This window comes from Homo sapiens, chromosome 7, assembly GCF_000001405.40.
Source record: "Homo sapiens chromosome 7, GRCh38.p14 Primary Assembly".
NCBI lineage: Eukaryota > Metazoa > Chordata > Mammalia > Primates > Hominidae > Homo > Homo sapiens.
In genome coordinates this window covers 14,181,976-14,198,495 of record NC_000007.14, presented here as the reverse complement: position 1 = coordinate 14,198,495, position 16,520 = coordinate 14,181,976, and the positions used below count along the sequence as shown (strand labels likewise).

The window sequence follows — 16,520 nt, the reverse complement described above, 5'->3', positions numbered from 1 at the left end:
CTTTGTTTCACCCTATGGAAGTTGGGGTTTGGGGGACTGATTTAGATGTTAAGACTGGTGACTGCTGTTGCTGTGGATAGTAACGTCTTGGGTCTCTGATGCAGGGAACTCATGTCTTCTGCCAGCCTCAACAAAGCTGTGGCAGGCTAACATGTTAGCTTTCAAGAAAGGTGAAATCTTAGATGTTCCCATACCTTGACAACTGCTGTATATTTCCCTAATGAAATTTTTTCTTCTCACCTTAGTTTTCCCTAGACCTCTGCTTTCTAATTTTTTCTTACTATTTTCAATACCTGGAATCAAAATTCCTTTTTATTGATGATTTATGCGAAGCAGATCCTTTTTACTTACAACTCAAATTAGGACTCCTACAGGAATCTGTTTAGTCCCAAATGCTAATTTCAATCCTTTGCTGAGGCAAAGGAAAGAACTGAAGAGATGTGAAGGTCAACTCTGAAACATCACTGAATAACTCAATTCTTTCACCCTTTCCCCACACACTTTAAGTCCAAAATGAGTCCCCAGACTCATTTCCCTTGGGCAGATCAATCTATTTCACACCTCGTGACCTTACTTAGGAGGACTGTGTCAGAAAGAAGTTATGATTCCATTTGTAGCATTTGCTCAATATTACCTACCTTTTCACTCGATGAATGCCTGTGAGCTTGTCAAACAGAAACCACTAGTAGGTATTCTTTGAAATGTGTATCTCAGCTGTACAATTGTTATTTGAGAAACAGACCTTTCTAATAATATTTGTCCAATGAAGTTCATACGCATTTTGCATTTTTACCTAAAAGAAAAAATAATAGGATGGTTCTATATGGAAGCTTTAAACTATCTGGTAAAAGTGGCAATCAGTCCAAACACATTAAAATTCGATTTTCCTTTACAAGTGTTTGCTGCAGATGACCCCCACTGATCTTAAATATATTTCTGTATCTGTAACTGAATAGAGGTTTTCCGTACAGCATGTTCTAATGGCACTCTGGCCTTTAGCCAACAAGGCACTGAATAAGGCTATTTTTAAAATACAGAAACTGGGAACAGCTGCAGCAATCAAATTTGATAAAAACAGAGAGGAACTTTGCTTTTTTTTTTTACGGTTTGTTCAAGTTTAGTCTTCTTTCATAGAACTGCTTTTGTTCTGTTGTATGAAGGGCTGCAAGACCAATACAGTGAAGCCCTTTTAAACAAATAACTTTTAAAAGAATACGACTAAATAGAATAATTTTCCTTTGTACCAAGAGTTTCACTGCAATAGTATTTTTAAACTATTAAAAAGGGGGTATATCTCTTCTAAGAGGAGGTAGAAAAAGAATCAGATATATTGGCAAAGTTTGTACTACAAAAGAGGTTTTGGTTTCCCCCGCCCCACAAAGCAACTCCTTGAAAGGGAAGATAAAGTCCTTGGTTTTTCAGTGTTGAAAATCTGAAAGTTTGCATTTGAACCTCTCTTAGGGTTTCAAGTGTTGCTAGAGGTGATGATACTTTTCATGTCCATTTCTACTTTTCACACTACGATTAGTCATGAATGTTGCTGTATTTTCCAAAAGCTAGATTAGTGTTAGTGCAGTTCCTTTGTAAAGATAAAATAACACGCTTTTTAAAACATCAATGAAAACTTTTTCACAGAGATTTTTTGTACTTATCTAAGTCCTTCAACATGTCTATATACAAGGGCTTATTTTTTTTTTAATTCAAGCTCTTTGGAAACTTGTCAGTACATGATTAATATGAGTCATAAGGTGACTAGATACTGAAAATCTCTTATACTGTAGTAAGTTGCAAGTTCTCTCTTCTAAGTGATTTTATGTGTGGAATAGATTTCTCTGCTACTTTGTGATCGAAATGACAAAGGAGATTGTATTTCTTATGGTTATTTACAAATGGAATTAATTTTAAAATTCCATCCAAATAAAACTATTTATGTCAACATTAATTCAATTTAGTAATCCAAGACAGTAATATAATTCTTTTTCTGTAGACATAAGGTCATGAAATAAAATTACTTCAAAAGAAAGGGAGTGTGGGGGGAGGAGAAAAATATAGAAAATAGAAGTATTCAGGTGTATACTAAACTGTACTAACTTGTTAACAGTTAGCTTATTAGATATGATGGTCAATCTGCCCGCAGTCTGTTTATAAGCTTTAAAAAAGAAAACTTTAGCAGGCTTTTATGACTAGAATAATTCTTTCTTTGAGGCATGAGTCAAAAACTGCTCATCTTTAAATGGTGAGGCAATGAGGAAAGTGTGTTTAGTGCTTTCGACAATAACAGTCCCTGTCTCAGTTCATGAGTGAGGGGTCCTTAGTCCTGCATTAACAGCAAAACTCCTTAAATACACACACTGTTCTAAGCAGAAACTATGACATTCCTGTTGTGCAGAGCCTTGAACTCAGCAGGGTTTCAAGGGTTCTCTGGCAAGTCACCAGACGTCATGATATAATCCTATATTTTTCGGCAACAAACAGTTCTACATGAAGGTTGCTGAGATTTAATTCTATTTAGACATGTCGCCTATTCTCTGAAGACAAACTGCCAAGACAGTAAGATTTACTTCTGACCAGCAATGGTTTTATGCACAATAACCTCAAATATTATAAAGTCTTTCAATCTCTTGCTAAGCACGTAAGACTTACATGCAACCAGGGTAAATTGGATACCAGAAACAGTTCTGTTTTACAAGGAAATGTTTACTGTAAATCACTTTTCCTCATCATCATGTTCTGTCCTTATTTTAATGTTCAGCATTATTAAGTTTATAAGTGAGTTCAAATGTACTACCATGTTTCTAAAATTTTATTTTTATGTGTTTTTCATGTTTCACTGAAACTAAAATAAAGGGACCATAGAAACATCTCATTATAGTTTATAATATATCTCAAGAAAATAACTGATTTTCACAGTACTTCTGGATATTTAGTGTAAAGACCGTGTAGTCATATGTAAAGTAATGTTGGCACTGCCCTGTATTACATTGCATTTTAATCTGAATATTTGTTTGTTTGCTTTGTATTGCTTTTCATTGCTGGAACTGCTCAGTTCTTAGGAGAATAAGAGTGGGTGATCTCCCTGGTGACTTCATCCCCTTAGCTGGCATCAGTGTTAGGGTGCAGGATGCCCCTCCAGAAGCTATTCAGAATTTGCTGACATCAGCCTTCATTCATGAGCGCTTGCTTTGTTTAGTGATGGCACTAATATGAGGAGACACGTGAAGTAGCTCAGTTTATAGAAAAGGGCAGAAGAGGCATGGTGCTGTGAAAACATTCCCACACACACTAACGGCTCATTCACACAGAAAACAAGTGAAAGCCTTCAGTCCCTTCACAAAGCTTAACGAGAACAAACTGCTTCAAGAACCCAGAAGCAGCAGTGTTCATATTCACCACTAGTTTACACCATTTACATTTACTGATAATACACATGGCTAGTGGCAGCAATGGATTGCTGTGGGAAGTCTTTAAACTCTTTCTCTATGGGTTTTGTCGGTGAAATACTTATTTATTTGGTTGCGTTCCTGTGGTGTAGATGACTTTTCAAGTACACTATAACACAGTGACTTGCAGGCCCTGAACTCCTTTGGTCGCTATAGAGAGGTTGTTGACAATATGCTGTACTGTGATTTCTGGTCTTTCCTTATTTTAGACTCGTTTAAAGGAGTTCAGAATTTTAGCATAAAAACAAAGTTATAGTCAGCTCCGGCTGGTTGTTTTCAAAAACTAGATGGCTTTAAAAGAGATGATCAAATCCATTCTTGAAAAGTTCTTTTTAAAGTCAGGCTTCCACTATGAATATATATGTATTTCTGTGTACATATATAACAGAATATATGTATTTCTGCATACATATATAACATAATATAACATATATTAACCCCTCATTTTTAGATTTCAACAGGGAATGCAACATTTCACACTGCTAGATTTTTTAAATGACTCTTGTTAATCCATTTATGTACCAGATTCTTATCTTCTTGTTATATTTAAAAATTATTTTTACTATTCCACATCTAAAAATGAGTGAGATAATGTGGTATTTATCATTCTGTGTCTGGCTTATTTCGGTTAACACGGTGTCCTCCAGGTTCATCCATGTTGTCACAAATGACAGGATTTTATTCTTTTTATGGCTGAATAATATTCTACGGTGTATATTTGCCACATTTTTTATCCATTCATCCACTGTTGGACACTTAGGTCGATTCAATATATTAGCTATTATAAATAGTGCTACAGAAGTTGAGAGTACAGATATCTCTTTTGACGTGCTGATTCCATTTCCTTTGGCTATACATCCAGTAGTGGAATTGCTAGATCACATGTTAATTCTATTTTGACTATTTTTGGGGAACCTCCATACTGTTTTCCATAATGGTTGTACTAGTATATATTGCTACCAACAGCATATAAGTGTTCCCATTTCTCCACAACCTTACCAGCACTTGATTTCTTTTGTCTTTCTGATAACCACCAGTCTAATTGGAATGAAGTAACATCTCGTTGTGGTTTTCATTTACATTTCCTTTATGATTAGTGGTATTGAGCATTTTTTTCATATAACTAATGGCCATTTGTATGTCTTCTTTTGAGAATGTCTATTAAAGTCTTTTGCCCATTTTTAAAATGAGGTATTTGGGGGTTTTTTTCCCATTGAGTTGTTTGTGTTCCTTTATATATTCTATATATTAACTCCTTGTTAGAAGTATAGTCTACATATATTTTCTCCCATTTGCTAGGTTATCTCTTTACTCTGTGAATAGTTTCCTCTTCAAAAGCTTTTTAGTTCAATGAAACTCCATTTGTCTCTTTTTGCTTTCGTTGTCTGTGCTTTTGAGATCTTATTTAAAAAGTCCTTGCCCACCCTAACGTCATAAAGCATTTTCTCTGTGATTTCTTCTAGTTGTTTCATAGTTTCAAACTTTACATTTAAATCTTTAATTCATTTTGAGTTGATTTTTGTACATAACATGAGTCAGGGTCTAGTCTCATTCTTTTGCATGTGATTATTGAATTTTCCTAGCACCATTTATTGAAGAGACTACTTTTTCCCCAATGTGTGTTTTTGGCATCTTTGTCAAAAATCAGTTGGCTGTAGGTGTTGAATGTATTTCTGGTCTCTCCATTCTATTCTATTAGTCTATGTGTCTGTTTCTGTGCCAGCGCCATGTTGTTTTGGTTACTATATCTTTGTATAATAGTGTATTTTGAAGTCAGGTGGTGTGATCCCTTCCACTTTGTTCTTTTTGCTCAGTATGTCTTTGGCTATTTAGGGTATTTTGTAGTTCTACAGAATTTTATAGTTGTTTTTTTTTTTTTCTATTTCTCTGAAGCAGGGGTCCCTAACCCCCAGGCCACAAACAGGCGTATGGGTCTGTGGCCTATTAGGAACTGGGTCGCGTAGCAGGAGGTGAGCAGCAGGTGAGAGTGAAGCTTCATCTGTATTTTATAGCTGCTCCCCATCACTCGCATTACCGCCTGAGCTCAGACTCCTGTCAAATCAGCATCTGCATTAGATTCTCATAGGAGTGCAAACCCTATTGTGAACTGCGCATGCAAGGGACCTAGGTTGAGCACTCTGTATGTGAATCTAACACCTGATGATCTGTCAGTGTTTCCCATCACCCCTAGATGGTATCATCTAGTTGCAGGAAAACAAGCTTAGGGGTCCCACTGACTCAACATTATAGTGAGTTGTATTATTACATTGTAATACATAATGAAATAATATATAACTATATATTACAATGTAATAATATAAATAAAGTGCTAATAATATAAAGTGCACAATAAATGTAATGCACTTGGATCATCTCAAAACCACCTCCCAACCCTGTGGCTGGTCTGTGGAAAAACTGTCATCCATGAACCAGTCCCTGGTGCCAAAAACATTGAGGACCGCTGCTCTGAAGAATATTATAGTTATTTTGACAGGAATTGCATTAAATCTGCAGATCACTTTGGGTACTATGACCATTTAAAAAAAATTCTTCCAATTCATGAATATAATATGTCTTTCCATTTATTTGTGTCCTCTTCCATTTATTTTTCATCAAAGTTTTACAGTTTTATTGTAGAGATCTTTCACCTCCTTGGTTAAATATATTCCTAGGTATCTAGTTTTTTTGTAGCTATGGTAAAAGAAAGTTTTAAAAATTCTTTTTCAGCGAGTTCACTATTATCCTATGGACATGCTACTGATTTGTGTATGTTGATTTTGTATCCTGCAATTTTAGTGAATTTGTTTTTCAGTTTGACTAGTTTTTGGTGGAGTCTTTAGAGTTTTCTTTATGTAAAATATTATAACATCTACAAATAGGGACAATTTGACTACCTTCTTCCCAGTTTGGATGCCTTTTATTTCTTCCTCACCAACTCTGGTGACCTTTCCACCATCAGCAGCCTTCCTGTCCACTGCTTTGATGACACCCACAGCGACTATCTGTCTCATAGAACAAATAGCAAAATGACTCAGAGGATAGTCAGAAAAGCTCTCAACACAGGAGCTTGCCAGGAACCATATCGACAATGGTAGCATCACCAGACTTCAAGTATTTAGGGCCATCTTCCAGCTTTTTACCAGACTGGCAATCAATCTTTTCCTTCAGCTCAGCAAACTGGCAAGCAATGTGAACTGTGTGACAATCCAGTACAGGGACATAGCCGTCACTGATTTAGCCTGTTTGGTGCAGAATAGTCACCTGAGTAGGAAAGCCATTTGTTTCCATTGGTGGGTCATTTTTGCTGTCATCAGCAATGTTGGCACAGTGAACATCTTTGACGTGCACATCCTTGACATTGAAGCCCCCTTTGTCCCCCAGAAGAGTTTCGCTCAAAGCCTCATGGTGCATTTCAACAGACTTTTCTTCAGTTGTAACATTGACTGGAGCAAAGGTAACCCAGTCACCACTCAGAACACAGTAACAGTATCAAAATCACCAATTCTGTAGAAATCCTGGAGAGGCAGACCACAAATAAGGGCTTGTCAGTTGGATGAGTTGGTGATAGGATGCATTGCAGAGTTTCAAGCAACATAGTTCCACTGGCATTGCCATCTTTACAGGTGATTTTCCATCCCTTGAACCAATGCATGTTAGCACATGGCTCTAGCATATTGTCACAATTCCAACCAGAAATTGGCACAGATGTTACTGTGTTGGCATTGTAGCCAATTTTCTTAAGTTTCAGCTTTCTCAATGATTCTTTGTACCTTTTCTGGCTATAGAGTGGCTAAGTGGAATCCATTTTGTTAACAATAACTGTTTCACACCCAGTGTGTAAACCAGAAATGCATGCTCATACGTCTGTTCATTCCTGGAGACACCAGTTCAAATTCACCAGCACCAGCAGCAACAATCAGGACATCACAGTCAGCCTGAAATGTGGCTGTATTCACGTTTTTCGCAAAGCATCTGTGTCCCAGACTATCAATAATAATCAAGTAGTAACTGCTGGTCTCAAATTTCCACAGGGTATCAATGGTGATACCATGTTCAGGTTCGGCTTTCAGTTTATCTAAGACCCAGGCATACTTGAAGTAACTCTTTCTTATCTCAACAGCCTCTTCCTCAAAATTTTCGATGGTTCTTTGGTCAATCCCACCACATCTGTAGATCAAATGGCCAGTAGTGGTGGACTTGCCTGAATCAATGTGTCCAATTTTGACAATGTTGATGGGAGTCTTTTTCTTTTCTTTCCCATTTGACTTTAGGGATGGTTTTCATGACACTGGTGTTCTAGCTGCAAACGTATTGCAAAAAAAAGTTGGTATCAGCTTTAATATCTCCTACTTCATCCTTGATTTTATTTTTTTGAGTCTTCTTTCTTTTTTTTAGTTAGCCTAGCTTGTGGTTTATTGATTTTCCTTTATCATTTCAAAAAAACAAATTCTTCATTTTGTTGATCTTTTGAATTTTTGTTCTTAGCATCAATTTTGTTTATTTCTGCTCTGAGTTTTATTATTTCCTTCCTTCTGCTAATTTTGGCTTTAGTTTATTATTAAATTAATAACAAATCCTAGGCCTTTGAGATGCATTGTTGGATTGTTTCATAGAAATCTTCTTTTGTGATGTAGACAATTATTACTATAAATTTCCCTTTTAGTACTGGTTTTATTGTGTCCCATGGGTTTTGGTAAGATGTGTCCCATTCTCATTTGTCTCAAGAAAATTTTAATTTTCTTTTAACTTACTCACTGACCCATTGGTTATCTAAAAGGATGTTGTTTAACTTCCATCTATTTGTAACATTTCCAAAATTTTATTTTGTTAATTTCTAGTTTAGACCATAATGGCCCGAAAAGATAGCTGATCATCTCTTCTTACATTTGTTGAGATTTATTTTGTGGCCTAATATGTGATTCATCCTGGAGAACGTTCCATGTGCAACCGAAAAGAATATGTATTCTAAAGCTGTTGGATGAAATGTTCTGTAAATGTCTGTTAGGTCCATTTGGTCTATGGTGCAGTGTAAGTCCAATGTTTCTTTGTTGATTTTTTGTCATTAGCTTACCCTTGTTGAAAGTGGGTGTAATCCCCTACTATTTTGTATTGTGTTCTATCTCTCCCTTTAGATCTAATAACGGTTGCTCTATATATTTGAGTGCTTTTGTGTTGGTTGCATATATATTTACAATTGTTATATCCTCTTGTTGAATTGATCCCTTTCTCATTATATATAATAACATTCTCTGCCTCTTTTAACAGTTTTTGACTTAAAATATCTTTTATCTGATATCAATATGGCTTATTCTGTTCAATTTTTGTTTTTGTTTGCACGGAATATCTTTTTCTATCCCTTTGCTTTCAGCCTGCCTTTTTTGAGGTGAATCTTTTTTAGGTAGTATATAGTTGGGTCTTATTTTATTTTATTTTGCCTATTCAGCCATTCTGTCTCTTAATGGGAAAATTTAATCCATTTACATTCAAGGTTATTATTGTTAGATAAGTACTTCTGCCATTTTGTTCATTATTTTTTCCTTATCTTGTAGATTCCTTATTTCTTTCTTCTTCTCTTGCTATTTACCTCTGTGGTTTGGTGGTTTTCTGTGGTGCTAAGCTTTATTTTCTCATTCTCATTTGATTGTCTGCAGTACATTATTTGTTTGTGATTACCACAGGCTAACATAAAGAGTCTTGTAGTTAGAATTGACTATTTTAAGATGATGGCAACTTAACTTTGGTTGCATAAAATTACTCTAGACAGTTTTCCTTCCCCCTAAAATTTATACTTTTGTTCACTTAATTTACTTCTTTATCTGTGGTGTGTTCCTTTGCCATTAATTGTAATTCTTGGTTTTGACCATTTGACATTAAACGTTCATACTAGAGGATTGAAAGACGTATCATATCACTGGAAATATTAGGAATTTGATTAATTAACTTACTCTACGGTGAGTTTTATACTTTCACTTGTTTTCCTGTTAGTAATTATGGTCCTTTTGTTTCCATTTGTAGCACTCTCAAGTGTTTCTTGTAACACCAACTTTATGGTAATGAATTCCCTTAGCTTTTTCTTATCTGCAAAAATTTTTATTTCTTCTTCATTTCTGGAAAAATATCTTTGCTTTATATAATATTCTCAACTGACAGCTTTTTTTTCTTTCAGCACTTTGAATATATCATCCCATTCTCTACCAGCTTTAAGGTTTCTGCTGAGAAATCTGCTAATAGTGTGATGCAGATTCCCTTATAAGAGACTTGATACTTTTCTTTTGTAGATTTTAGAATTATTTCATTGTCTTTGACTTTTGACGGTTTGATTATAATATGCCTCAGAGAGAATTTTTTGGATTGAATGTAATTGGGGATCTTTTTTTTTTTTTTTTTTTTTTTTTTGAGACGGAGTCTCGCTTTGTCGCCCAGGCTGGAGTGCAGTGGCGGGATCTAGGCTCACTGCAAGCTCCGCCTCCCGGGTTCACGCCATTCTCCTGCCTCAGCCTCCCAAGTAGCTGGGACTACAGGCGCCCGCCACCACGCCCGGCTAATTTTTTGTATTTTTAGTAGAGACGGGGTTTCACCGTTTTAGCCGGGATGGTCTCGATCTCCTGACCTCGTGATCCGCCCGCCTCGGCCTCCCAAAGTGCTGGGATTACAGGCGTGAGCCACCGCGCCCGGCCAATTGGGGATCTTTTAACTTCCTCAATCTGGATGTTCATAACTCTACCAATACTTGGGAATTTTTCAGCTATTATTTCGTTAAATAAATTTTCTGTGCTTTTCTCCGTCTCTTTCCCTCTGACACTCCTATTATGAGAAAATTTATTCACTTGATGGTGTCCCATAAGTCCTGTAGGCTTTCTTCATTCTCTATTTTTCTTATTTCTACTTTCTTTTCCCCTCCTCTGGCTGGGCTATTTCAAAAGATCTGTCTTCAAGTTCATAAATTCTTTCTTCTCCTTCATCTTGTCTGTTGTTGAAGCTGTCAGTTATGTATTTTTTTCATTTCATTCATTGAATATTTCTGCTCCAATTCCGCTTGGTTCTTTTTTTATTTTATATACATCTTTGTTGAATTTCTCATTCGGATCATGAATTGTTTTCCTGATTTTATTGAATTGTTTCTCTGTGTTCTCTTATATCTTGCTCAGTTTCCTTAAAATCATAATTTTGAATTTATTTTTCAGATATTATATGAATGTCCTTTTTGGGAGTCTGTTACTGGAGACATTTTGTGGGTGCCATGTTAATTTGCTTTTTTATGTTTCTTGTGTCCCTACATTTATATCTGTGAATCTAATTGTGTAGTCAATTTTTTCCAACATTATGGAGTAGCTTTTGTAGGGATAAATGTTTTCCTGTAAACAAGTCCTAGTGTTAAATGTGGTGCATTGGCTTTAGCTCTAGGTCGACTCAGTACTGTAGTCTTCATGCAGTTTCTTCAGCTGTAATCCTCATCAGTGATATATATTGCCTCAGTGCTCTAGGCTGCAGGCGTTTGTGATGGCAGCAGTGTAGTTTTGCTGAGGACAGGAGCGCTAGGCTGGTTGTTGGACTCTGTGGCAATCTGTCTAGGAAAGCAGAATTATCACTGGACCAGCTGTTGGACCAAGCATGAGAGCAATGGTGCCAGGCATTCCTGCAATGGTATTTGCAGGGAAATGGGACCACCCAGACTGGCTGTCAGGCTGGGCTCAGGTGTGTGCAGGTGTGGTGATGCCAAGCAGGCCTGTGGCTATCTGTCCAGGGAGGTTTGTCTGCTGCTGAACCAGATGTTGGGCCAGGCAGAGGTGCATGTGAGTACAGCAGGGCCAGGCTCTTAGCTTTCTTACTGAGCTTCTCCAGAGTATTCTTCATACATTACCCCACATGGTATTATAAATGGGAGCTTTGTACTTCATTTTAATTTTGTGATTACATTTGAAATGATTTATTGGTAGGACTGTTTGCTGGACTATTTTAAGGTGTTATGTATGTATTCCTTTGTAGCACTTTTTTCTCTTCCATCACTGATAACATTTATTTATTTATTTATTTATTTTTCCATAAGTTATTGGGATACAGGTGATATTTGGTTACATGAGTAAGTTTTTTAGTGGTTATTTGTGACATTTTGGTGCACCCATCACCTGAGCAGTATACACTCACTATATTTGTAGTCTTTTATCCCTCGCCCCTCTCCAACTCTTCCCCCCAAGTCCCCAAAGTCTACTGTATCATCCTTATGCCTTTGCTTCCTCATAGCTTATCTCCCACATATCCATGAGAACATACGACGTTTGGTTTTCCATTCCTGAGTTATTTCACTTAGAATAATAGTCTCCAGTCTCATCCAGGGCACTGCAAATGCTGTTAATTCATTCTTTTTTATGTCTGTGTAGTATTACATTGAATATATATACCACAGTTTCTTTATCCACTCTTTGATTGATGGGCATTTGGGTTGGTTCCACAATTTTGCAATTGTGAATTGTGCTGCTATAAACATGCATGTGCAAGTATCTTTTCTGAATAATGACTTCTTTTCCTTTGTGTAGACACCCAGTAGAGGGACTGCTAGATCAAATGGTAGTTCTACTTTTAGTTCTTTAAGGAATCTCCACACTGTTTTTTTATAGTGGCTGTGCTAGTTTACATTCCCACCCACAGTGTAGAATTGTTCTCTATTCACCACATACACACCAACATCTACTGTTTTTTGATTATTTTTTTGATTATGGTCATTCTTGCAGGAATAAGGTGGTATAGCAGTGTAGTTTTGATTTGCATTTCCTGATCATTAGTAATGATGAGCATTTTTCATATGTTTGTTGGCCATTTGTATATCTTCTTTTGAGGATTGTCTATTCATGTCCTTAGCCCACTTTTTGATGGGATTGATTTTTTCTTACCAATTTGTTTGAGTTTCTTGTAGATTCTGGTTATTAGTCCTTTGTCAGATGTATGGATTGTGAAGATTATCTCCCACTTTGTGGGTTGTCTGTTTACTCTGCTGACTGTTCCTTTTGCCATGCAAAAGCTCTTTAGTTTAATTAGGTCCCAGCTACTTATCTTTGTTTTTATTGCATTTGCTTTTGGGTTCTTGGTCATGAAATCCTTGCCTAAGCCAATGTCTAGGAGAGTTTTTCCAATGTTATCTTCTAGAATTTTTATAGTTTCAGGTCTTAGGTTTAAGTCCTTAATCCATCTTGAATTGATTTTTGTATAAGGTGAGAGATAAGGATCCAGTTTTATTCTTCTAGATGTGGCTAGCCAATTATCCCAGCACCATTTGTTAAAAAGGGTGTCCTTTCCCCCACTTTATGTTTTTGTTTGTTTTGTCAAAGATCAGTTGGCTGTAGTATTTGGGTTTATTTCTGGGTTCTCTATTCTGTTCCATTGGTCTATGTGCCTGTTTTTGTACCAGTACCATTCTGTTTTGGTGACTATGGCCTTACAGTATAGTTTAAAATCAGGTAATGTGATGCTTCCAGATTTGTTCTTTTTGCTTAGTCTTGCTTTGTCTATGTGGGCTCTTTTTTGGTTCTATATGATTTTTAGAATTTTTTTTTCTAATTCTGTGAAGAATGATGGTGTGGTATTTTGATGGGAATTGCATTGAATTGTAGATTGCTTTTGGCAGTATGGTCATTTTCACAATATTGATTCTACCCATCCATGAGCATGGAATGTGTTTCCATTTGTTCATGTCATCTATGATTTTTTTCAATAGCGTTTTGCAGTTTTCCTTGTAGAGGTCTTTCGACTCCTTGGTTAGGTATATTCCTAAGATGTTTGTTTTGCAGCTATTGTAAAAGTGGTTGAGTTCTTTATTTGATTCTCCACTTGGTCGCCATTATTGTGTACAAGAGCTACTGATTTGTGTACATTAATCCTGCATCTGGAAACTGAATTCTTTTATCAATTCTAGGAGCTTTCTGGAGGAGTCCTTAGGGTTTTCAAAGTAAAAGATTATATCATCAGCAAACAGTGACAGTTTTACTTCCTCTTTACCGATTTGGATGCCCTTTACTTCTTTCTCTAGTCTGATTGTTCTAACTAGGACTTCCAGTACTATGTTGAAGAGTAGTGGTGAGAGTGGGCATCCTTGTCTTGTTCCAGTTCTCAGAGGGAATGCTTTCAACTTCTCCCCATTCAGTATTATGTTGGCTGTGAGTTTGTAATAGATGGCTTTTATTACATTAAGGTATGTCCCTTGCATACCGATTTTGCTGAGAGCTTTAATCATAAAGAGACGCTGGATTTAATCCAATGCTTTTTTTGCACCTCCTGCCAGGAGGTGGTGCTTTCCAGAGAGGAACTGGCAGTGGGCGAGGCCCTAGAACTCCCAAGATTATATGCCCTTTGTCTTCCACTACCAGGGTGAGTAGGGAAAGACAATCAGGAGGAGGGCAGGGTTAGGCATTTCTGAGCTCAGACTCTCCTTGGGTGGGTCTTGCTGCAGCTGCAGCATGGGGGATGGGGATGAGATTTGCAGGTCCCTGGACTTGTATACCTAGGAGGATTATGGCTGCCTCTGCTGAGTCATGCAGGTTGTCAGGGAAGTGGGGGAAAGCCCACAGTCACAGGCCTCACACAGCTCCCATGCAAACTGAAGGCCCGTTCTAACTCTCACCGTGCCCCCACGAACAGACCCGAGTTAGTTTCCAGGCAGAAGGTGAGACCGGCCTGAAAACTCACCTCCCAACTGCGAAAGAAAAGGTCTTGGTTCTTCCCCTGCCTGTGGAGTTTGCACACCAGATTTGCGCCCTCTCCTGAGTTCTAGCCAGGTGGCTTCCCACCCCGTTCAAATTGTTACAAAGTTTAGCTAGAGATTTCCTTCTCCCTGTGGAGTTTTACCCCCTGCTCCTCTGGTCACCCTCCCGTTGGATCCCTGTGGTATGGTGCCAGGCAGGAACGGCCAGTTAGGGGACTCCAGGAGCTCCCAGGGCCTTTCTGCTGCTTCCTCTACCCCTGTACTTGGCTTAGCTTTCCAAATTGACTCAGCTCCAAGTAAAGCCGGAAACTTCTCCTGCAAATGGACTGTCAGCTTCTCTAGTGGGGGCATGTGATGGGGAGAGGAGGGTCTCCCTTTTCCACTTCCTCAGTTGGGCACTCAGTATTTGGGGGGTCTCCCAGGCTCCGCAGGAGCAGTCCACTTCCGTCAGAGCGTCTGTGTGTCCTCTCGAGATTGCTGGTTTGTTCTTGCAATCTATTGAGCTAAAATTTACAATGCGAGCTGCTCTGTCTGGAGCTGCAATCTAGTCCTGCCTCCTGTCCGCCATGATGATCCAAGAGAACTGTTAACATTTAATTGGTTAGTTCTTACTGTTGTCACAGTAACATGGAATTTAGAGTCAAGCATACCTATTTAGAAAACCAGATTTTCAATTCTATGTAAAGACTTGAACAAGTGACATAGTTTCCCTGTCAATAAAATGAGGAGAATAATACCTATCTCAAAGGACTGTTGAGAGTCTTAAATGGAAAAATGCCTATAAATCCCTTAGCAGGGAGCCTGCTCATAGCAGGCATATAGTAGATATATTAGCCTTCCCCATACAGTTTCTCCTTTATTAATAGACCTACAATTGGATTGTATGTTCCTTCAGGTGCAAAAAGCCTGCCTTTATGTTTTACATACTTGTACTCTGAAACACAGTTTATATTAATAAATTTTTGCTAAAACTCTTCCTACCCACCCCCTTTTAAAATTTATGTCTTCTGGGTTATGTAGGTCAGGAAAAACAGGCATTTATGCTTGTGAGAAGTATATCTAAATTAAGAATCAATTAGAAGTAGATGGACATTTTGAAGACGAATCATTGAATTATTCACTCTAGTGAATGGATTTCATATGTTCCTTGGCCTTTTAAAAGTTTATTCTTGGTCCTCAGACATGTTTCATAATGTTGCTAGATAAATGAAACATCACTGGAAGGCATACAATCTACAAACACTCAAAAGGTACAACTCCATAGCTAGCCTGGTCTTACTATGGCCAAATAATGGCTCAATAAGTGTCATTATAATTAGCAATTTATGTTGATTTCAAAATGCTCCTGCTGAGTCAATGAGTACCTCCACATGGCCTCTGACAGTGGTGCAGAATGTTGCTGGACACTCTGCACAAAGGGGTTTATACTACTCTGCTCCAGCCTTTCTCCCCCTTTCTTCAGTACCCACTATATTCTGCGAAATGCTACAACCCACATTCATTCTGTGTTTGTAATGCATTCTCTTCTGTTTCTTCACATATGGCAGTCTGAAACAATTACATAATGAGACATATTATCAGGGCATAACTGTCAAAAATGAAGACTAAGCTATGAATAAATATTACCCACTTATTAGCTGAGCTGCTCGTGTGTCCTCTAATCTATATGTGCCCCTGACTTTCAAATTTACATTCATATCCCTGATTACCTGTGTAACAGATGAATGCAGCACTAATTATTTTCACAGATTTATAAAGTTTATAAAGATTTATAAACTTTAAAATGACAAATTCCATTCTAAAGTAGGGTTCCTTACCATTTTTGTGCTATAGTCTTTTTGCCTGTCTGGTGAAATCTACTGACTCTTCTCAGACATAATGTTTTAAAATTTATAAGATAAAATACGTAGGCTAAAAAAGGGAGTCAGTTATATTAAAATACTGTTAAAATTTTGATTTAGAGATATATATGCTTTTCTATGAAAAATTAGATTAAAATGCTGTTAGAAATTTTGATTTAGAGATATATATGCTTTCTTATTAACAAATTAAAATCTAGAAGTTCAATAATTATTAAAATTTGACATAATGAATATAAATAACATTTTGAAAAATTACATAAGATAAAAATAAAAAAAATAAAATTTAATGTGTTATTTTATTTTATAGAGACTTGTAGATATTTTGGTATTGTGGATAATTAAAACGTATTATCTTTTCTTAAAGTAGGAAATATTGTAACAACTATAACGTGATATTTATCAGTGACAAAGTCACAGGTATTCCTGACTACATTTATATTTGAAAGAAATGCTTAATTTCAATTACATGTTAGTGAAAATAAAGTTGCATTTTTCCTATTCAGATTCACAGACCATGTGTTAAGA

General features: G+C 37.0%; 1 protein-coding gene and 1 pseudogene across 21 annotated transcripts in view; one reads left to right on the top strand and one right to left on the bottom strand.

Moving 5' to 3' along the window:
• DGKB (diacylglycerol kinase beta) overlaps window positions 1–16,520 on the top strand; it is an 829,810-nt gene that overhangs the window by 776,363 nt on the left and 36,927 nt on the right. The gene's annotated exons all lie outside the window — the stretch shown is intronic.
• EEF1A1P26 (eukaryotic translation elongation factor 1 alpha 1 pseudogene 26) lies at window positions 6,379–7,761 on the bottom strand (annotated as a pseudogene).